Below are 22,767 nucleotides of genomic sequence, written 5' to 3'. Positions count from 1 at the left end.
GTTCCCTAAAGTGCTAAGGTATCATCCAGTGGGTTATTTGCCATTGTTCCTTTTCTGCCATTTCTTGTTGGCGAATTGTATCCTGTGCTGCTTGGTGCATTTTCTCTAATTTTACCAGAGTCAGAGATTTTAAGGGTAAAAGTTTGGGTTTACATACCACCACTGTGGTTCCATCTTCCAGAGACAACTACCTTTGTTTTGGAAGAACTTCCTGGAACATTGACTTCACTTTCGCTATATCTGAATTGCTGGATACAGTTAAGTTTTTTCCTGAACGTTCTGGTCTTTTTTCTGCAACTTTTGACATCCAACCCGGTATTACCAAGAAGACCGAGAGTTCTTGACTCAAGCCTACAGAAGAAAAGATGCATCCCTTCGCAGGTGTCTCAGCTGCTGCCGCAGGTCATAGTCAGGATTTGCCATTTTAGATGCCTGAGGCACATTTGTGATTCTTGGAAGGAGGTCAAAATACCAACATTAATAGGAGTTTGGAAGAAGTTGATTCTAATCCTCGTGGATGACTTTGAGGGCTTCGGGGGTTCAAGGCTTCAGTGGAGGGAGTCACTGCAGATGTGGTGGAAACAGCAAGAGAACTGGAATTAGAAGTGGAGCCTGAAGATGGGACTGAATTGCTGCAATCTCATTAAACTTGAACGAATGAGGAGTTGCTTCTTACTGATGAGCAAAGAAAGTGGCTTCTTGAGAGGGCATCTACTCCTGGTGAAGAGGCTGTTGAAACATTGTTGAACGCTTCACACATTGTTGAAATGACAACAAAGGATTTAGAGTATTTCATAAACCTTAGTTCATAAAGCAGCAGTTTGAGAGAATTGACTCCAAATTTGAAAAGTTTTACTGTGGGCAAAATGCTACCAACAGCATCTTCGTGAAAGAGAGAGTCAATCGTGCCAGAAACTTCATTGTCATTTTATGTTGAGAAATTGTCACAGCCATCCCAACTTTCAGCAGCCAGCACACTGACAGTCAGCAGCCATCAACATTAAGGCAAGACCTTCCAGCAGCAAAAAGATTATGACTTGCTGAAGGCTCAGATAATCATGAATGTTTTTTTAAGCCATAAAGTATTCTCTAGGTAAGACATGTACTTTTTAGAAGACGTAATGCTTTCGCACACTTAATAGACTAACAGCATACTGTGAACATAATTTTTATATGCATTGGGAAATTTAAAAACCTGCGAGTGACTCACTTAATTGTGATACTTGCTTTATCGTGGTGGTCTAGAACCAAACCCACACTATCTCCAAGGTATGCCTGTCCCTGATCTCAACGTCCCCCACGACAGTCTGTGAAAACTGTGTTCTTCAAGCTTGGTCATCTGTGATTGTCACCACTGCTCTTGAAGAGAGAACATTTTACTCTTCCCATGCAGTATTTGGAACAAAATGCCTTAAAGGCCAGTATAGTACCTTGTCATGGCTGTACGTCTACCTTATAAGAGAGGAGGATTCATTATTTTAATAGACAGCTGGTTGTTTAGATTTAGCAAGGTGCATTTGATGTAAGAACTGAAGTCGTAAACACTCTGCCAGCCAGAAAGCACCTTCCTCCCATAGCCACTGGCTGTATCTCCAACACCATACAAATACATGGTCAGAGGCCACCAGAAACAGCAGGAGAGAGGAGATGGGAGGATTCGTAATAATGCAATCGCACACTTAATAGACTACAGTATAGTGTCAGTATAACTTTGATTTTTTTTTTTTTTTTTTTTTTTTTGGGATACTCTCGCTCTGTCGCCCAGGCTGGAGTGCAGTGGCACTCGATCTCCGCTCACTGCAACTTCTGCCTCCTGAATTCAAGAAATTCTCCTGCCTCAGCCTCTCGAGTAGCTGAGATTACAGGTGCATGCCACCACATCTGGCTAACTTTCGTATTTTTAATAGAGACGGGGTTTCGCCACGTTGGCCAGGCTGGTCTCAAACTCCTGACCTTGTGATCTGCCCGCCTCAGCCTCCCAGTGTGCTGGGATTACAGGCATGAGCCACTGCGCCAGGCCAGTATATGCACTGGGAAGGCAAAACATTTGTGTGACTTACTTTATTGTGATATTTCCTTAATTTCATGGGTCTGGAACTGAACCCATAATATTTTTGAGGTATGTCTGTACATATGTGTAATCAAAACACTATTTAATTAGTTATTTTTGCTGTGTAATTATTTTAATAACCCAATAGTTAACTTTATCCATTTTTTTAAGAATTGATTTTTCCCCCATATTGATTTAATCTTATGTAAATACCATATTTCTCATTCCTAAAGGTTTGAGCTGGGTCTTTTTAAATGTCTTCCATTTGGCTTCTTAACAGGCCTGTACCTTCTTCTACCATTTGAACATATGGAGTATATTTATATTTATTTTATTTTATTTTATTTTTTTGAGATGAACTCTTGCTGTTTCGCCCAGGCTGGAGTGCAGTGGCGTGATCTCGGCTCACTGCAACCTCCATCTCCCGGGTTCAAGCAATTCTCTTGCCTCAGCCTCCTGAGTAGCTGGGACTACCAGCACCCGCCACCACACCCAACTAATTTTTGTATTTTTAGTAAAGACCGACCGGGTTTCACCATGTTGGCCAGGCTGGTCTCAAACTCCTGATCAGGTGATCTGCCTGCCTCGGCCTCCCAAAGTGTTGAGATTACAGGCATGAGCCACTGTGCCTGCCTTAGAGTATATTTATAATAGCTGTTTTATGTCTTGGTCTACTGATTCTATTTTTTGTGTCATTTCTGACTCTGTTTCTACTTACTGATTTTTCATTTGATCACATCATGTTTTTCCTGTGTCTTCTATTCCTGCTTTTATTTCTGAAAAGTATGTCTAATGGTACTATTACAAGGACATTTTAATGACCACTTCAATTATAAATTAAAAGGCTATTTTAATTTTATTGTTGCAGAGATTAAGTTTGTCTGTTTTTCACTTTTAGGACTCTTTAATTTCACTTGAAGGCAAAAAAAAGCCAAGGAAATTTTGTAAAAAGAAACATTTAAAGCTTATTTTCTTAAACTCTATAGTGAGAAATATACCCGACTGAAAATCTTGTAAATCATGATGATGGGATGATCATTGAACTTTTTCATGTTCTTGTAAAGATACTGCTTTCGACTTACAGATTAGATGTTACAGTATCCACTTGAAGAATGTCAGCTCTCTGAAAATCAAAGGCTTTTTGTTCCAACCCTTTCCCTCCTTCATTTGTAATTTTTGCTTGAATTCTTTGATCCTGAGTTACCCTGCACAGGGTGAGTGTTGAGTGAGATTTGGGAATGACATTGCCATGACAGTTAACTTTTAACTAGCTCCTTTGTAGTCTGTATGGCTTTTAGCCCAGGCATTTAGACAGTAGATGGTTAGTGTTTGGCCTGTAGAGAAATGTCTTGTCATTTCAGAGGAACAGATCTGAACTATACACACAGAATGCCCATTTCATTGTTGATTAGGACTTAGGTGGCTGGAGAAGGCACTTAATTCAGTTGGATATTTACTGTGCAGAGAGAAGCAGCTGCTTTTGAAAACAAGCTTGGATCAAGTTCTTTGTGGCAGTGTCCATGCAGGAGCTGTGGGCATAGACAATGAGATGCTTGTTTTATTTCCTGAAAACACCTCTGGGAAAAACCTAAGAGAATAAATATTGTGTGTGCGTTTCAGTGTGACTCAGCCACTGGGAGCTTCCATCCATGACGATGTCATGGGCAGAGCCAGGCCCGAGTCAGATGAATTGGCTTTCGGGTTGGTTATTTTTTTCACTTTGCTCTTCTCACCTAGAAAATTAAAATACTGGCAGTTACCTTGTTTTTTATGTATTTTATGGAGATAAGTAATATTATGTGTATGGTATATGGAACAAAATTCCTGACACATGTCAGGCATCCAGAAGATGTCCTCTGTTGACCACCTCTGGTTGTTCTCAGAACATGGATTTGGTTACTCCTAAGTCATCAGTGTTGTTCGTTATGTGGTCTTACCTGAGGTTTCTAATACTGAATTTTAGTTTTGCAGAGGCATTTATAACTCTGACTTTTGACTTCTTATGTGGGTGAAGTTTAAGATTCACTGGACTTTCATTTTCTTAGAAAACGAAAAAGTCTTTTTTTGAAAAATTGGAGGTCTTAATAAGACAGGCGTAGTTTCACTAATTGTACTTCCATGATGGTCCACAATATTGCTATAAATTTTGGTTTTAGACAGCTGCATTAGTTTGCTAGAGCTGCTCCCCACCTCTACCTCACCTCCATCCCCCTCCACACACTGAGTGGCTTAAATAACAAGCATTGATTTCTCACAGTTCTGGAGCCTGGGAAGTCCAGGATCAAGGTGCCAGCAGGGTTGGTTTCTGGTGAGGTCTCCTCTCTCCTTGGATTGCAGACAGCAGCCTTCTCTCTGTGTCCTCACATGGCCTTTTCTCCATGGGTGCACTTCCCCGGTGTCTCTTCTTATAAGGACACCAGTCAGGCCAAACTAGAGCCCTGCTTTAATGACCTTATTTAACCGTATACCTCCTTAAAAGTGCTATCTCCAAACACACTCCCACTGGGAGCAGGGGCTTCAACATGAATTTTGGGGAGACAAAATTCAGGCCATAATAGCAGCTCTCCTCTGTCTTGGCTTTGGAAAGTCAGCAGAAGCAGCAGTGAGAACATTGCTGTGGTACTGAGTTAATTTGTAGGCTTTTTATCATCCTGCGTCTTCAATGGATGACACATTCTCACTTTCTTGTTTTCTCTTCTCTACCCTTCCCACTGCTGGTATGTCTATAATGCAGTGGCTTTCAGTTTTTTTTTTGGCCATGACCCACAGACAGAAATATATTCACATGTGTGTGCATAACTCTAACAAATATTTTACAAATCAGTAGCTATCCTTAGGAGTTTGCATGTATTCTGTTTTCTATTTTTTTTTTTGAAAAAAGGTATTTTCAGATGTGCTACTTTATGTAATTTGAAAAACTGCTGTAGTGTAGTTTGAGAACTGTGATATGTGACATATATTAAAGGACTTTCCCTTTTAATCTTTTGCGGTCACGGACATGCAGTTGGCTTGCATTGATTTGTGGAATTTGTGGAACCCATCATAAGACTTCTCTGCAGAGGAAATTACAGTCTGGAAAATTTCCCTGCCATTTGGCAACTTGTGTAGGAAATAGAAGCCAGTAGGGTGGAAAAGTTTCATCATATTGATTGTCTTTGCTGGGAGAAGCATACAATTATGTCTTATATTCAGGAGCAGGGTAGATTGGAACAAAAGCTTACTATAGCTCAGTGATAGTTTTTTTTATGTGTGGTTTATTTTCTCTTTTAAGGTGTGGGTTTGTTTTTGTTTTAGAATTATCTTTCTCTATGATAAGCTCCTTCCTAATAGGTTAGAATGAATTTTTTAAAGAATAAAAGTCTAGTTTTTTGATGACTTTGTCTCAAATCTTAATTCCATAGGGATATATTGTGTTGGAGCTTGATGATAATTTATTCACGTTATCTAAAGTTATCATTGAGGAAGACGCATGCGGTTAGCTGGTATCAGTTAACGGTGTTAGCCCCTGTGAGCTTAATAGCAGGATAAATGAAAACCTGTATCAGGTCGTCCGAAAGGATGCATTTGGGAGGATGGGAGTGGAGGGAGACAGCTCGCTGTAAGTGGAAGCACAAAGTATCTTTTTTAATGCCCAGCCATAGCAAGAACTGGGCCTGAGGATGATGTAAATGATACTTAAAAATTCAAATTAGCAGGGCTGGGCGCGGTGGCTCACTCCTGTAATCCCAGCACTTTGGGAGGCCAAGGCGGGCGGATCACGAGGTCAGGAGTTCGATGCCAGCCTGACAAACATGGTGAAACCCCGTCTCTACTAACAATACAAAAGTTAGCCAGGCGTGGTGGTGTGCGCCTGTGGTCCCAGCTATTTGGGAGGCTGAGGTGGGAGAATCACTTGAACCCGGGAGGCAGAGTTACAGTGAGCCAAGATCATACCACTGAACTTCAGCCTGGGTGACAGAGACTCCATCTCCAAAAAAATAATAAATAATAATGATTCAAATATAGCTTTTTATGGAAGGACCCTAGAGTACTTTGAAGTTGTAGAGAGTCATTTCATGCCCTGGTTTGCCCTTCATTTGATATGATTTTGGACAAATACTTGAGCCTCCATTTCCTCATTCAGTCTTCATCACAGATCTGTGAGATAGCATCTGGAACAGACTAGCACCACAAAGGTGAGTCTTCTCCCTGCTTTAGTTCTTCTTCGTTCCTGCAACTCTTAGTTCTCTCTTCTTCTGGATCAATGAGTCCATGAAAACAAATAGCAAAAGATCGAGGTCCCATAAAATGCTCCCTTTTTAGCTTATTCTTCACTTGTTTTTTTTTTTTCTTTATTCTGAGTGACAGGTTTTATTGTAATGGATAATAAAGGATAAAGACCTAGAAAGAAAAGGTCTTAAAGTACCCAGGAAAAGCAGAGCCCTGGGCTACCCCAGGTGCTTGTGCAAGATTATCAGCTTGGGTGGAACCCGACTTAGTGATGTGATAGAGAGACACCATTGCTGACCCACTGGATTTAGACGAGGGTGTTCTTGTGGCTGACACCTACACACCTGCCACCTGGGAGCACTGAACAGGGCAGGGAGACTTAAGCCAGAGGCAGGTAAACCAGATGTACCCCTAAGTCGGGCCAGCATGGCGTGTGTTACGACCAGCTGAGGAACCAAGCAGACGCTCTGGGCCTCAGTGCAGGTAGGGAAAGGTCGGAAGCTTCAAGAGAGTCATGCTGGGGAGCCTAGAGTAGCTGGGTTTGATTTTGTTTTAAAATAAGCTTTCCTGATTGTAAGAGGGATGGGGAGCCTGAAGGGCCAGGGGCTTTGTGACACCGCAGGAGCCCTCCCAGATGGCAGGAAGTGGAGAGCAAGAGGACCGGGACCCCTCACCTCAGAGGAAGCTTCTGCTACACCTGAGTGGGCTGCTGCTTGGACTTCTGTGATCCATGGAGAGCATGACACGGGAGGTGGGACCGAGGGGCAGCAGGGCAGGGTCATTGACTAAGTGCTCTTGGTGTAGGGACCGGGGAAGTCATGGCCTGTGAATAGAGACCTCAGGCAGAGAGAAGCCTGGGCTGGCCCTCCCAGCTCTGATGAGAACACTGGCTTTAGTGATGACTGAAGGATACTGCTTTGGCCAATGCCTTGCCCAAGAAATACAAAATAGGCACCACTGTTTTAAACTTTCATTATTCCTTATGAAATATTCTATTAGATACTTCTTTTTATTCCTTCCCTAAGTGTCCGCTCAGAACAACAGTCCTACTACAGATAGATGTTTTTCATTCTCATGGACTCCAAAGCAGCCACAAGTCCAGAGCCGGTCCCCTGGCACCTTCTTGTGTGGGGTGTTTATATTTACATTCCAGGGAGAGGAAGGCTGCACATAACATGCAGAGAGAAAGATGACTGAGCAAAATGCATGCCTGGCTTTTTTTTTTTTTTTTTTTTTTTGAGACAGAGTCTTGCTCTGTCACCCAGGCTGGATTGCAATGGCGTGATCTCGGCTCACTGCAATCTCCGCCTCCCAGGTTCGACAGATTCTCCTGACCCAGCCTCCCAAGAAGCTGGGATTAGGGGGGCCCACCACCGTGACTGGCTAATTTTTGTATGTTTAGTAGAGATGGAGTTTTATCATGTAGGCCAGGCTGGTCTCAAACTCCTGACCTCAAGTGATCCATTCACCTCGGCCTCCCAAAGTGCTGGGATTACAGGCGTGAGCCACTGCACCCGGTCCATATCTGGCTTTTGAGTAAGTGGTGTGTGGCTCTGGGCACCATATCCCTCTCACACTGGCTAGATGATTCAGCTCTGTTGTTGTCTAATTTCTTTGAGGTTAGAATATCTCCTGCTTCCCATTTTGGAAACCTGCCTACAGTAGAAACACCTGATGCCCACGTGCCTTTTGTTGTCCAGGACCGTGTGTGCTTCTAGTCGTGTGCTTACTGAGCATCTGCTGTGTGCCAGGCCCTTCATGAGGAGCTGGAAGTAGTCCCTGTGTTAAAGTGCCCATTGTCCAGTAGAGATGATGAGAATAGAGAGGAAATACAGACAACTAAAATGACTAAGCTTTTTGCTTAATGCTTTAATAATGTGGTGATTTAAAAAAATTGTCATTGAAAGAAATGAATTTACGCCTTTGATTTAATGCTTTTGTGTTTCTATTTTAACATGTACCGTAAGACCTCTTTTTATGTATGTTTTTAACGGTCATTGCTATAAATGATATGAAGTATGCATTTGTAAGCTGTAAATTTCCTAGGCCCTTGCTTGTTGTGTTGCAGCAATGTTGGGTGCAAGTGGCAGTCCCTGGCCCTGGCAAGAGGCTCATTCCTCCGTGGACTTGGGCTTTAGTACTTCTTGAAGGCACCCTTGTTTTCATGGGAGAACTTTGCAAGGCTGCTTAGGATTGGTCTGCTACTCAGGGCTTGTTCCATGCCGGAGTAGCTGAATCATTAGAAATGTTTCTGTCATTTGAGTGGAGATGGTCAGAGTTCTTTGCGTTAGTAGGGTGGGTGGGATGGTCATAGAACAGTCCCAGCGGTAACTCACTTGGCCACCTGGCCCATCTTTGTGGCAGTGGGAGTGACGCTTGCACATCCCAGTCCTGCAGGGAGGAGCACCACGGCCCCTATGGGGGTGCCTTCCTTTTCATCTGGCAAACTGTGGCCCAGGGTATGAGAGGCAAGATTTTTTTTTTTTTGAGACGGAGTCTCGCACTCTCGCCCAGGCTGGAATGCAGTGATGCCATCTCGGCTCACTGCAAGCTCCGCCTCCTGGGTTCATGCCATTCTCCTGCCTCAGCCTCCCGAGTAGCTGGGACTACAGGTGCCCGCCACCACGCCCGGCTAATTTTTTGCATTTTTAGTAGAGACAGAGTTTCACCTTGTTAGCCAGGATGGTTCGATCTCCTGACCTTGTGATCCGCCTGCCTTGGTCTCCCAAAGTCCTGGGATTACAGGCGTGAGCCACTGCGCCTGGCCAAGGCCAGATGTTTTAACATCAACATGGGGATACACAATATTTGGAAAATGAGTTAACGTTCTAGGAATTACTTCTATTGCATTTTTTAATCTCTGTATCTTTTTCTGTTTGAATCCAGGTGCAACATTAGAGGAAATCAATCAGCACTGGGACTGGCTGGAACAAAATCTCCTCCACACCTTGTCTGTCTTTGATAATAAAGATGACATTGCCAGTTTTGTCAAAGGGAAGGTAAAGGTAGGTCCCCTGAGTTTCATGTTTCTCCCCATCTTTCCATCTTTCTTCCTTAAGACATTCCGAACACTGTAGCATACTAACAGTTTTTCCTACTAACTGAACTTTTGGCTCAATACGTAATGCCAAATAAGTTTCATTTATCACCTGTCTTAACTTTGTAGTCAGTCTAGCAAAATACACCTGACATGTTAAAAAAAAAAAAAAAAAAAGACTTGGCTGGGCACGGTGGCTCACGCCTGTAATCCCAGCACTTTGGGAGGCCGAGGCAGGCAGATCACGAGGTCAGGAGGTCGAGACCATCCTGGCTAACACGGTAAAACCCCATCTGTACTAAAAAATACAAAAAAAATTAGCTGGGCATGGTGGCGGGCACCTGTAGTCCAGCTACTCGGGAGGCTGAGGCAAGAGAATGGCGTGAACCCGGGAGGTGGTGCTTGCAGTGAGCCGAGACAGAGCCACTGCACTCCCGCCTGGGCGACAAAGTGAGACTCTGTCTCAAAAAAAAAAAATAAAAAATAAAAAAGACTTTATTCTCAGACTTAGTTTTTGTTATCCTTTACAGGAGTGAAGGCCTTTTTTTATCCCAGGAAAAAAAAATAGTGTTAAGATTTATGTTTCCGCAGAGCAACACATTATTTGACTTCTTAAATCACCTTTTTTTTTTTTTTGCAGTTGTGACATCTTGTCACACTGTTCTGTTGGATCTACCACTTTCCTCCTGCTAGAAGTGGATGTTTATTCTTAAAATATGTAAATTAAATGTAATGAAAGCCAATTAAGTTTTGAGTTGGCAAGAGAGGAATATTTTTGGAGGTATCTGTGATACCTCCTGTGAGTTACAGTCTTATATAACTGGCCTCACTGCAATAACATGATGGGTAATCAGTGCTTTAAAAGCCCCATCGGGTTGGGAGAGATGGTTTCTCATTCTAAATTTAACTCTCTCATTAAATACTTTAACACATTAGCGTATGATACAGTTTTCCTTCCTTAGGGTAAAACCTCCTAGCCCTTCGATTTTGTTTGTTTTCTGCAAAAAGCTTGGCTTTCTAATACGTCAAGTGCTATGGCTTTTAGTAAAGGGTGTCAAAGCAGATTTTTGATTTTGGAGGAACAAAATTTTTTCCTTTGGGGACTGGGGGTTACTTGTGGGATTTGGTGAAAGGGAAGGCATCCCAAGTCCAGCCAGCTTGACAATGTCTTCTTGGAGTTATACCTGGCCTGTGGGGTTAGGGGGTGGGCTAGGCGTTGGTGGGCTCGGGTCAGCCCTCATCCTGGCCCAGCCAACTGTGGCTCACTTCCCTGGGTCAGATCATACTGGGGTAGCTACAGAAAGGCCCCATTCAGCACTATTTTTCACACTTACCCTGCGTTTCTTGGTCTAATGCAAGTTGTAGTGGTTATTTGATTTAGGTGTTGCTCTTCTTAATTTGGAGGAAGAAAATTAACTTTCGCTACAGTGATTTTAAAACGGCTTCTGTAGAATAAGAAAACTTGTCCTTGACTCTCCTAGATTTCATGGCTGGGGCCCTGGAAATTACACTGACAAAAGATTAACAAGAGAAAAACAGAGTTTATTTTTGTTGGTTGTTTTTTTGAGACAGGGTCTTGCTCTGTCACTCAGGCTGGAGTGCAGTGGTGCAATCGTGGCTCACATCAGCCTTGACCTCCCAGGCTCAAGTGATCCTCCTGCCTCAGCCTCCCATGTAGCTGGGGCTGCAAGCACACACCACCACACCTGGCTAATGTTTTTATTTTTTGTAGAGACGAAGTCTCATTATGTTGCCCAAGCTGATCGAACTCCTGGGCTCAAGCAATCCTCCTGCCTTGGCTTCCCAAAGTGCTGGGATTATAGATGTGAGCCACCACGCCCAGCCAAACAGACTTTATTTGAACACAAAAGCATGCATATATGTAACAGAAACTCAGTGATGAGTAACTCACAGGGGTGGTTAGCACTTGGGCTTACATAGCATCTCAGCAAAGAACAGTGCATTTGTAGAAAGGTGACAAGACTAGGGAAAAGGCCTTTAGGCTTTTGGGGGCAGTGTACTGTGTGGGAAACTCATAGAAGCTAAGGATTATTTTAGTGAGGTTTGTTATGTAGATTCCTCTCAGGGCTGTTTCTGGACTTGGGAGGGTCAAGAGCTGTTTCTGGTGACTGAGAGTCAAAGTCCTCTTTCTGGTACAGGAGCAGGACACACCTCGACAAATGGACCTTTAAAAACAGGTCCTGTTTTTAGGCAAATGCCAGGGGAAGACAGAGAGCCTTTTTGGTGTTTGTGGTTTCTCAGTTTTCTTCAGCTCAAAATAATCCTTATGCCAAAGTGGCATATTTTGGGGTGACATATTCTAGTCCCTGACACTTTGAAGCTAAAATGCTTTGAAAAATAATTCCTGAGGAGGCAGGGCTGGGGAGTGAGGGGCCTGCCTGGCCTGAGCCTGGGAGCACAGCATGACATTTGATCTCCCTTTCCTCTGGCCAAATCCTAAGGATCTGGGAATAGAGGCTTTCCTACTCATATCCTGAACCTTTGATGACTCTACAAAACTTTTAAAAAATCCCTGTTTCAAGCTGTGCCTATAACCAGAAACCACACTTCAAGGAAGGCAGGGGTCAGCACGGCCACCTCATGCCTGCATCAGGAGCCACTGGGTACCACCCTGCAGCCGTGCCTGCTGCCTGTCTGCTCCGGAGCCTTCATAAAGACCCCTCCACGCCTCACTTCCAGGGCAAGGGGAGAGCTCAGCACTCATTATATATTAGATATGCTTTTCAAAAATACTCATCTCTCTTAACTAGAACTTCATTAATGTATAATGTCTTGTTAAATGAAATGTGGGAAATAGAGAAAAACATAATGAAGAAAATAAAAATCACTTGAAATTTCATCAGCCTCCAGATTTCTTTTAAAAATAATTCTAGGCCGGGCGCGGTGGCTCACGCCTATAATCCCAGCACTTTGGGAGGCGGGTGGATCATGAGGTCAGGAAATCGAGACCATCCTGGCTAACACGGTGAAACCCCGTCTCTACTAAAAATACAGAAATTAGCCAGGCATGGTGGCAGGCACCTGTAGTCCCAGCTACTTGGGAGACTGAGGCAGGAGAATGGCATGAACCCGGGAGGCAGAGCTTGCAGTGAGCCGAGATCACGCCACTGCACTCCAGCCTGGGCGACAGAGCGAGACTGTCTCAAAAAAAAAAAAAAAATAATAATAATAATTTTACATTACATTGTTATTTTAATGTCAGTGCTCGGGTTTGATTTTGAAAATAGCTTATAAAGTAGTGCAGGGTTTCATAACAATACCCAAAAAGTAGTCTTGTCTTGAGGGACATAGCTTTTCATGAGACATACCTACCAAAAAAAAAAAAAGAGAAATGTTAATAAAAATAAATGATAGAAGTATTTATATATATGTGTGTATTTTTAGAGATGGGGTCTTGCTGTGTTGCCCAGGCTGGAGTGCAGTGGCTGTTCACAGTTGCCATCATAGTGCACTGTAACCTCAAACTTTTGGGCTTACATGATTCTCCTGCCTCAGCCTCCTGAGTAGCTGGGATTTGAATTATAAATGTATTTTTATAATCAGGTAGCACATGTGAGGCTTGGGGCCCAGGAGTTCCTAAACAGCTGCTCACATGAAGGTACCAAGAAGATATTCTCAGGGAAGGATTTTGTGGTGAGCTCCCAGGGATGGGAAATCAGATTTCTGATGTTAGCAATGAGTTGTCAATTAGGAACAAATAGGCCACAAGCTTGAATTCTAGGCCCTTCTACCACCACCCCAGATTATGAAGGACACTACTTGTTACTCAGTTTTGGCAAAAAATTATAGATTTAGATGTTTTGTTTTCCCATAGACCTGAGTGCTTTGGAGGTTATTTATGACCTTGGGAACCTTGGCCAATATCCATTTAAGGCTACAAAGTGAGCCACACAGTCAGGCAGGTAGTAGCCTTAAATACCAACATTTTTGAACCTAATAAGGAAGATCTTCATGAGTTTTTCTCAAAAGACTAACTTTTTTTTTTTTTGAGGACTCTGTCATCCAGGTTGGAGTGCAGTGGTACAATCTTGGCTCACTGCAACCTCTGCCTCCGGGGTTCAAGCGATTCTTGTGCCTCAGCCTCCCAAGTAGCTGGGATTGCAGGTGCACCACCACACCTGGCTAATTTTTGTATTTTTTAGTAGAGATGGGGTTTCACCATGTTGGTCAGGCTGGTCTCAAACTCCTGGCCTAAAGTGATCTGCCCACCTCCGTCTCCCAAAGTGCTGGGATTACAGGTGTGAACCACCACACCTGGACGCTCAAAGGACTAACTTTTATCTTAAAGTTGGGTAGTTCTTTGGGATTGATGCTGAGTTCACAGGCCTGAGCCAGTCCTTTTACCCTCATATGCCTATAGGGAAGATTTAGAAAATGATCATTTGTGGCCGGGCGTGGTGGCTCATGCCTGTAATCCCAGCACTTTGGGAGGCTGAGGCAGGTGGATCACCTGAGGTCGGGAGTTCGAGACCAGCCTGACCAACATGGAGAAACCCCGTCTCTACTAAAAATACAAAATTAGCCCAGCGTGGTGGTGCGTGCCTGTGATCCCAGCTATTTGGGAGGCTGAGGCAGGAGAATCACTTGAACCCAGGAGGTGGAGGTTGCGGTGAGTTGAGATCGTGCCACTGCACTCCAGCCTGGGCAACAAGAACAAAACTCCGTCTCCAAAAAAAAAAAAAAAAAAAAAAAAAAGAAAAGAAAAGAAAATGATTGTTTGTTTGAGAACCGGGCTTAGAAGTCAAATGATTTGCCCAGAGCCTCATGATCGGTAAGTGGCCGAGTGAGAGACTGGTTCTTGGGTTTTCTGACCCCGACTGCCATTCCTTTTTTTTCTGCTGCAGCCGTGTGTCTGGGTGGCTGACGGATGACACGGCTGAGCCATTCTCCTCGTCAGGTGTGTCTGTCGTTGAAGCAGCGCACACTTCTCGGGGGCCTGTGCACCTCAGTCCCTCCTGCTTCCTGTCCCTTGCACCCCCTGCCTTCCCATTGCTGGCTCACTGAGCAGGGACTGTCATCTCTGTGTGTCAGGCTCTGATAGCCGAGGAGACCAGCAGCAGGCTCGCCGAGCAGGAGGAGGAACCCGAGAAATTCCGAGAAGCCCTGGTGAAGTTCGAGGCCAGGTTCAACTTCCCCGAGGCGGAGAAGCTGGTCACCTACTACTCCTGCTGCTGTTGGAAGGGCAGGGTGCCCCGCCAGGGCTGGCTGTACCTCAGCATCAACCACCTCTGCTTCTACTCCTTCTTCCTGGGCAAGGAACGTAAGTGAGGCCTGGCAGGCTCTTCCAAGATAAAGTTGGCCCCAGGGACTCAGCGCTGCTCCCAGGAAGGGCCGTTAACAGGAAGAGTTGGACAGATTTAAATAAATGGTGGAGATGACACCAGGTGACACTTGATTACTTATATATGCTACTGCTAGCAGGGGATTAGATCTGGAGAATTCACTTTTTCTACTGCTTCAAGAAACATCCTGTATAGTTCACTTTATATAGCCACTAAAGGGTTTTTACTACTGTAAGTTGTTTAGAAAACATAGTGTTATCACTGATGGCTTAATATTTCTCAAAGTGGAGAACATATTCCTGCTTCTTAACAAAGCAGGCCATTAAAAAAATTCCTGGCGCTGAAGGTCGGGACTGCCCCTTGGAAGACTGGCTGGATATGCAGTCGCTTCCAGAAGGGGAATTCTTCACTATTTCCTTGAGATTCATGCACTGATTCACTGCTCACCTGTTTATCCAGTGGCAGGAATTGTCCTAGGCAATGGGATTCCAAGGTGAAAAAGAGAAGCCACAAGTGTCAATTGTGTATTGAGTGTTTAAAAAGTCATTCCCACGGACACTTCTTCCAGAACCAAATATTGTTTCAAGTGCTCATGTTGGGTAGTATGGATGCTGCATATGTGAGTGTGTGATTTTGTTTTCTTTCTTCATTTATATTTCAAGTTGAACCAGTGAGAGGAGCTTCTCTTGAGTGTCTGCTGTGGCTGGCTTCTGGCACGTGGTGTTCCTTTTCCAGCTCGCCAGCCTTGGTTCTGATGCTCTGGGATATACACCCTATCTGCACAGCCCTTCCACACCCTCGGAGTGTGCCCTGACCTAACCTTGGCCACCTTCCTTCTTTTTGAAATGCTTTTCAAAGTACACCTGGCTTTCTTTCCTTTCTCTGTACTTAGCCTATTGGAAACTCCTATTCATCCATCATCCTTCAAAATTCAGTTCAGATTTTGTCACATCCAAAAGCCTTCCCTGATCCCTATATTATTTGTACTGTATTTGCATTTTTATGCTGGGTCCCAGCAAGTCAGTGGTCACTTACTAATATGCATGTCTGTTTTCTCTGTGTGAACAAGCTCCTTCAATGCAGGGCAGGCACTTCGCAAAGGAGATACTTAATGAATGAAAGTTGGTGGTGTAGGTGGAGCATATACCTGTGTATAAAAGAGTTTTTATGAAAGCAGCTAGAAGTAGCTGGAGAAGTTTATTGTTGAGCCTGATGCAGAAATTTGGCCTTTAAAATTATTAAAGCACTGAAAGTGGTATTGCAAGATAAATGGAAAGAAATGGTAAAAATAAAAACAGTCATTCTCTATTTGAAAAGGAAAATGAATTGTTTTCTTACACTTATTAGTGATTGTCACTAAACCTTATTGTGTTAGGAGGATAAGATTTGGAAAAAATAGGTCAGGCACAGTGGAAACCCCGCCTCTACTAAAAATACAAAAATTAGCCAGGCACGGTGGTGCACGCCTATGGTCCCAGTTACTTGGGAGGCTGAAGCACGAGAATCGCTTGAACCCTGGAGGTGGAGGTTGCAGTGAGCCGAGATTGCACCAGCGCACTCCAGCCTGGGTGATAAAGCAAGACTCCGCCTCAAAAAAAAAAAAAAAGATTTAGGAAAAATAAATGATTCCTAATATGTGGTGACATTTCTGATTTTCAGGTGTTCTGCATGCCTCTCTGATGACAGCAAGCCGCCAGATGTTTAGACTTTCTGTTCTCCTTGCTGGCTCTGTATTGCCAGCCCTGGCTACTGCTGTTAGAAACCTTTCTGAGACTAGACCAGGTGTTTCTAAAATGTACTGTTTGTACTATGTTACTTTTTTAAAGTTTCATAAAAACTGCTTATACTCTGTCTTCTAATACTCTAACAACTGTTATTGACACAGGCTAAATGTTAAGTCCATTTCTCTGAACGAGATCATGAATGATCCTCATTTACACACCTCTTTTTCCCATAGCTTACACCGTGAATGCTGTTTTTGAAACCAGAATTTATGTAGATTGAGAAACTTTTGCATAACTGTTGAAGTTTAAATATTCTTGAGAAAGGTATATGTTGTTAACTTGGTATTTCAGAATAGTGTTCCTTTGCAACATGCAGTAGCCAGCAGCTTGGGAAGTTTTACTGAGATCTTTAAGAAAACCATTAGAACATGAGTTGGGTTTTGACCAACAGCTGGCAAGTGGTCTGTGCTCTTCTTTCCTGCTCTGGTTTAAAGGTATTTATACCAGCAGCATATAAATGTTTCCTTTTCTCCACAACCTCGCCAGCATCTGTTATTTTTTGACTTTTTAGTAATAGCCATTCTGACTGGTATGAGGTAGCATCTCATTATGGGTTTAATTTGCATTTCTCTAATGATCAGTGATGTTGAGCTTTTTTTTTCCATATGCTTGTTGGCCGCATGTATGTCTTCTTTTGAAAAGTGTCTGTTCGTGTCCTTTGGCCACTTTTTAACAGGGTGGTTTGTTTTTTTCTTGTAAATGTGTTTAAGTTCCTTATAGATGCTGGATATTAGACCTTTGTGAGATATCTAGTTTGCAAAAAACTTCCCCTATTCTGTAGGCTTCTGTTTACTCTGTTGATAGTTTCTTTCGCTGTGCAGAAGCTCTTTCACTTAATTAGATCCCATTTGTCAGTTTTTGCTTCTGTTGCAATTGCTTTTTGGCATCTTCATCATAAAATCTTTGCCTGTTCCCATGTCCAGAATGGTATTGCTGGTGTAAATTAGCTCAATCATTGTGGAAAACAGTGTGGCAATTCTTCAAAGAACTAAAAGTAGAACTACCATTCAATTCAGCGATACCATTACTAGGTGTATATCCAAAGGAATATAAATCGTCTACCATAAAGACACATACGTGCGTATGTTCATTGCAGCACTATTCACAATAGCAAAGACATGGAATCAACCTAAATGCCCATCATTGGTAGACTGGATAAAGAAAATGTGGCACATGTACACCATGGAATACTATGCAGCCATAAAAAAGAATGAGCTCATGTCCTTTGCAGGAACATGGATGGAGCTGGAGGCCATTATGCTTTGCAAATTAACACGCAAGAAAACCAAATACCGCATGTTTCCACTTAGAAGTGGGAGCTAAATGATGAGAACCCATGGACACATACAGGGGAAGAACTGACATAGGCACCCATTTGAGGGTGGAGGGTGGGAGGAGGGAGAAGATCAGAAAAAATTACTAATGGGTACCAGGCTTAACACCTGGGTGATGAAATAATCTGTACAGCAAACCCGCATGACATGAGTTTACCTGTATTGCAAACCTGCACGTGTATCCCTGTATCCCTGAACTTAAAAGATTTTTTAAAAAGGCATTTACACATCGGCCTAAGGAGAGCTTTGGATAGTTGCTTGCTGACACACTCAAGTTTGGCTCAAATTTCATGGCATAATAGGTATTTCACCCTTTTCTCTTACAGTTAAACTTGTGGTTCCGTGGGTTGATATCCAGAAATTAGAAAGAACGTCCAATGTCTTTCTGACGGATACCATCCGAATCACCACGCAGAATAAGGAGCGTGACTTCTCCATGTTCCTGAACCTGGATGAGGTGTTTAAGGTCATGGAGCAGCTGGCCGACGTGACGCTGCGAAGGCTGCTGGATAATGAGGTCTTTGACCTCGACCCCGATCTGCAGGAGCCGAGCCAGATCACCAAGAGGTGAAAGTGACTGTTCTAGAGTGTCTCCCACCCGCACGGGGGACCCATAAGCTGTGCCCATCCCTTATGTACAAGTGCTTTTGTTAGCCTTGGTTATGTTAGATTTAAATTTCCCTTGTGGCATAATCCAGATTTTTGTATGTCGTTAATCTCGACAGAGATATGACAGAAATGATGATTACTCATTTCATTTATGCAGTGGACTTCAAGTTTTCAGATATTATTTCAAAACTGATTTTCATGAAGAATGCTTTTAGAAATATAGTAAGGGTAGGGCCGGTTGCGGTGGCTCACGCCTGTAATCCCAGCACTTTGGGAGGCTGAGGCGGGTGGATCACGAGGTCAGGAGATCAAGACCATCCTGCCTAACATGGTGAAAACCCGTCTCTACTAAAAATACAAAAAAATTGGCTGGGTGTGGTGGCAGGCGCCTGTAGTCCCAGCTACTCAGGAGGCTGAGGCAGGAGAATGGCGTGAACCCGGGAGGCGGAGCTTGCAGTGAGCTGAGATGCCGTCACTGCACTCCAGCCTGGGCGACAGAACAAGACTCCGTCTCAAAAAAAAAAAGACATGTAGCATGGGCAGCTGCATAATAGAAATCTGTGGAGCACTGTGCTTTGCTAGTGAACATTAAGACATTTTGTCTTTTCTTTTTCTTTTTTTATTTTTTTTTGAGATGGAGAATCTCTCTGTCCCCCAGGCTGGAGTACAACGGTGCTATCTCGGCTCACTGCAACCTCTGCCTCTCAGGTTCAAACGATTCTCCTGCCTCAGCCTCCCGAGTAGCTGAGACTACAGGTGCCCACCACCACGCCCAGCTAATTTTTGTATTTTTAGTAGAGACGGGGTTTCAACCATGTTGGCCAGGCTGGTCTTGAACTCCTGACCACATGTTCCACCCGCCTCAGCCTCCCAAAGTGCTGGGATTACAGGTGTGAGCCACCGTGCCTGGCTGACATATTTTGTCTTTTCACAGGAAATTAGTTTGTAGAAAACATTTTCAGGACAGCTGGACCTATTTTTGGTACCACTTCGTCATCAGAAATATGCCTCACTAATAGTGTAAGTCAGTATGCTACGTGGTTTGTTTGCCACAAATTGATACTAATCCTAGAGACTTGTGAGATAGTTGTTTGAATTGTTTGTTGCTTTAAGGAAGTTCAACTTTATTATCCAAAGTTTTTATTTTTAATTTTTAAAGAACCACTAGTTATTTTTTATTATCTTGGTGCAAAAGTAATTAAAAGCAGAATTATCCTAGTGTCCAGCAATTCCATTTCTGGGTATATACGCTAAAGAATTGAAAGCAGGGGCTCGGAGCTATTTGTATGCCCGTGTTTGCAGCAGCATTATTCATAGTCACCAAAAGGTAGAAGCAATCTGAGTGTCCAGCAAGAGATGAAGTCATCAGCAAAATGTGAGCTGCACAATGGAATATTACTCAGCCTTGAAAAGGAAGGAAATTCTGACCCATGCTACCACATGGATGAACCTTGAGGACATTATATTGAGTGAAATAAGTTGTGAAAAGACAAATACTGATATTCAAATGTGATTTTTCTGAGATTTAGTCTGCCATACTTGGGCTGGATGACATGCCAAGTTCCTTCAAAGCTCTAAAGTTAGTGTTCAGTAATAATATAGTGTTTTTTTTTTTTTTAAAAAGACTTATTATTCTTGAAATCCATGCACTGTCCTCTGTCTTTTCTCAATGTGTGGGGGAGAGAGTGTCCATTCATGGCCTGTGAACGGCAGCATGCTGAGGGTTTGATGTGTTCAGAAAGAATTCAAAGCCCCTTCCTACTGTGTCCATTTGTTTTAAAATGGATCATGTGTAGTCCTGAGTTAGGTGAAATCAAACACAAATGCTCTTGATTTTTTTGGTTAAGATTCCAAGGAATTTCACATGGTCTTGTGCCACCTCTGATAATCTGAGATGGAGGGTGAGGGGGTGCTCGTTGCCCCCTGTGAAAGGACACGCTTGGGGCAGTGTCCTTTGGGATTTGGACCTGCACCTCTCAGCCCCAGGCTCCCCATGATGGTCTCTCAGCCTCCATCTTAGGAGCACCTGTTTTAAAAGCAAGACAGTCCAGTACAGTGTGTGCCATGCCCTCCTGTATTTCTTCAAATGCCTCTACAGTAGTTGGTATCTGAGTCCTTTTAGTGCAGCTTACAAAGATATCTTAAAAATGGGAAAGTTGCAGGAAGCCCCGAAGCAACAAGCCTGGCTTGTGTGAGTTGCTAGAGGGCTCACAGGAGCACCATTTGAAGCTTCTCCCCCTCTCCCTGTGTGTGTGGGGCACATGGGCGTGTGAGTGCAACCGTGTAGTTGCAGGAGTCGGAGGCCTGCTAGCAGCTGTTCTGGCCAGCCCCACAGCGCTGGGATTTCCGGTGATTCCTCCCAAATCTACTGATATCCCGGCACAGCTCCACTTCCAGATGTGGTGTTTTTTGGTTTTGGGTGGAAGGGAGGAAAGAATACATTGAAGGTCTGTAGCACCAAATCCCTTGTGGTAAGAGAACTGGTTTTGGAGAAAAGCCATCAGTTGGCAGCCTTCATTTACATTCCAGAATTCAAGGAGATTCTACAAGACATTCCCCCTCTGTCTTCTACCCTGGGAATTATCAGAAAGAAGAGGGGAGAGGAAAGGCTAAAAAGGGCCTGGTGTTGGCCAGGGCTGAGCTGCCAGGGTGCCTGCAGGTGCGTGGGGCTGGCCCTGTGATGGGGCTGCAGGCCTCTGGGCCAAGCTGTTGACTGCAGGTTCAGCAGCTTTCTCAGAAAGTGAAAGGCATGTATGTACCTTGCCTCCCAATTCCTGGCCAGTTCTCATTTGTAGCATTTGTCATGGAGACGTGGGCCTGTGGGTATAGACAGGTAATGACTCAGTCTTCTTGAAGCCCTGCCAGGAGAGCCCAGGTTTGAAAACTGGGGAAAACAGTCTCTTCATGCTCGCTCCCTGGCTCTCTTTGGTTGGTCCCTTTTCCCTTCCCTTCCCAGATAATGGCTGCAGAAAGGTGCCCTTGGGGTCACGAGCCGGGTGAGCCTCAGATTGCCAATTAGTCATGATTGCCATGTGTGGCCACTCCAGCAGGACTTATGGCCACAGTGCGGAGCCGCTCGTAGCTCCCCTGGGAGCAGGGAGGGTAGGGGGTGCATTGTCACCCTCGGTTGATTGGGCTGGTTGGAGTTGCCAGGCGTGGGAGTCACCTGGCTCAGCCCTCACAGGGCGCAGGGGAGGCCCTGGGCCAGGGATCCCTGCATCATAGCCTCGGAGTCCAAGAGGGCAGAGTGACTGAGGAGCTGCCCACAGAGGGAACAGAGGGAGGGAAGCGGAAAGGAAAAAAGACCATCCTGAAATCTCAAAACAGAAAAGATGTATCCCAAAGTTGGGAATGGTGGGGTGAAAAAAAGTGTATTCGGCTGTTTTTTTTGGGGAGGGTAGTTGGAGAGTGATGGGCTTCATTAAATCAAATTACAATCTGTTTTGACTGGCTGAAGATGCTGGAGGAGAGCTGAATTAAAGCGGTGTAGTAAATGGAAACTCTGTTTCCCACGAGGCAGGCTCTTTCGCCGGTTTATAAAGATGAATAGCGGCTGCCCAGAGGCAGGTGTCCTCAGCAGGGAAACCTGGTCCCTCATGGCCTGGCGGATTCTGAACTCTCGGGTCTGGCTGGCTTTGCAGACCCTCTTTGGCCTTCCCCTTTCCTCCCCTCCCCCCACTCTCCCTTTTCCTGCTCTTCTTTCTCGGCTCCCACTAGGACCGCTTTTGTGTAATTTATTTGACTTTTCATCCCTCTAATTCTAGCTCGAGTCCTCCTCTGCCTCAGAGTCCTCTTGGCCCACTTAAGACATCTCCCAGGGGCTCCCGCAGCCTGACAGGCCCCACCTTGCAAGAGAAGGCCCATGTCTCACCCTCCACAACCCCAGTCCCCAAGCTGCTCGGTGATTGTCAGCAGGTTGGCTTAGGTGGTTCTCTCTAGGACAGGACAGGAGGAAGAGGATGGAGGGATGAGCCTTTTTCTGAGCGTCAGAGAGCCTTAAGGATGCCCTGTGTTGTCAGGGTCCTGGTCTCTTAGGTGCTCAGTGCAGACGGATTTCCAAAGGAATGAGGGGCCCTTCGTGCCGACCGCCTGTGCTGGCGCCTGACAGCCAGGTGAGCCTAGTGGCCGTGGGCTGCAGTGTGTCCTAGCAGCTGCATGGCAGCTTCATCCACATTTCCTTAGGACTCCTGGGGGGGTCACAGAAGAAAGGTATTCTGAGTAAACACACATTTGAGAAATGAAATATTTTATATACAGACTTGGGCTTTGAGGAAAAGCACGTGGATCTGGCCTTGTTTTTAGATTCAGAAAGCTTGATATTTCCCTGATTTGATTTGATTTAGTTAATTAATTAATTAATTAATTAGAGGCAGAATGTTGCTCTGTTGCCTAGGCTGGAGTGCGGTGGCGTGATCTCAGCTCACTGTAGCCTCCACATCCT

The 22,767-nt window shown here is 44.3% G+C and overlaps 1 protein-coding gene and 1 pseudogene across 3 annotated transcripts in view, besides 1 other annotated feature; one reads left to right on the top strand and one right to left on the bottom strand.

Annotated features, from left to right (window-relative positions):
• The window catches only part of TBC1D8 (TBC1 domain family member 8), a 144,155-nt gene that overhangs the window by 82,698 nt on the left and 38,690 nt on the right, over nucleotides 1-22,767 (top strand). For all 3 annotated transcript variants that reach the window (NR_138475.2, NM_001102426.3, NM_001330348.2), the window contains exons 3-5: nucleotides 9,146-9,264; nucleotides 14,349-14,577; nucleotides 18,044-18,284. Coding sequence is in view for 2 of the 3 variants with exons in the window: in NM_001102426.3 (NP_001095896.1) it covers nucleotides 9,146-9,264; nucleotides 14,349-14,577; nucleotides 18,044-18,284 (589 nt within the window). In the remaining variant the exon portion in view is untranslated. The remainder of the gene's footprint in view (nucleotides 1-9,145; nucleotides 9,265-14,348; nucleotides 14,578-18,043; nucleotides 18,285-22,767) is intronic.
• BBIP1P1 (BBSome interacting protein 1 pseudogene 1) lies at nucleotides 14-307 on the bottom strand (annotated as a pseudogene).
• Nucleotides 21,545-22,089: an enhancer, noted in NCBI's record as "H3K27ac-H3K4me1 hESC enhancer chr2:101663058-101663602 (GRCh37/hg19 assembly coordinates)". NCBI's record gives its function as "activates a minimal SCP1, AML or CMV promoter by ChIP-STARR-seq in primed H9 embryonic stem cells {active_cell/tissue: H9 hESC(primed)}" and the evidence as "EXISTENCE:reporter gene assay evidence [ECO:0000049][PMID:30033119]".

The sequence above is a fragment of the Homo sapiens genome, chromosome 2, assembly GCF_000001405.40.
Source record: "Homo sapiens chromosome 2, GRCh38.p14 Primary Assembly".
In the NCBI taxonomy this organism is placed as follows: Eukaryota; Metazoa; Chordata; class Mammalia; order Primates; family Hominidae; genus Homo; species Homo sapiens.
Note: the sequence above shows the minus strand (reverse complement) of the source record. Positions and strands in the feature narration are given on the sequence as shown.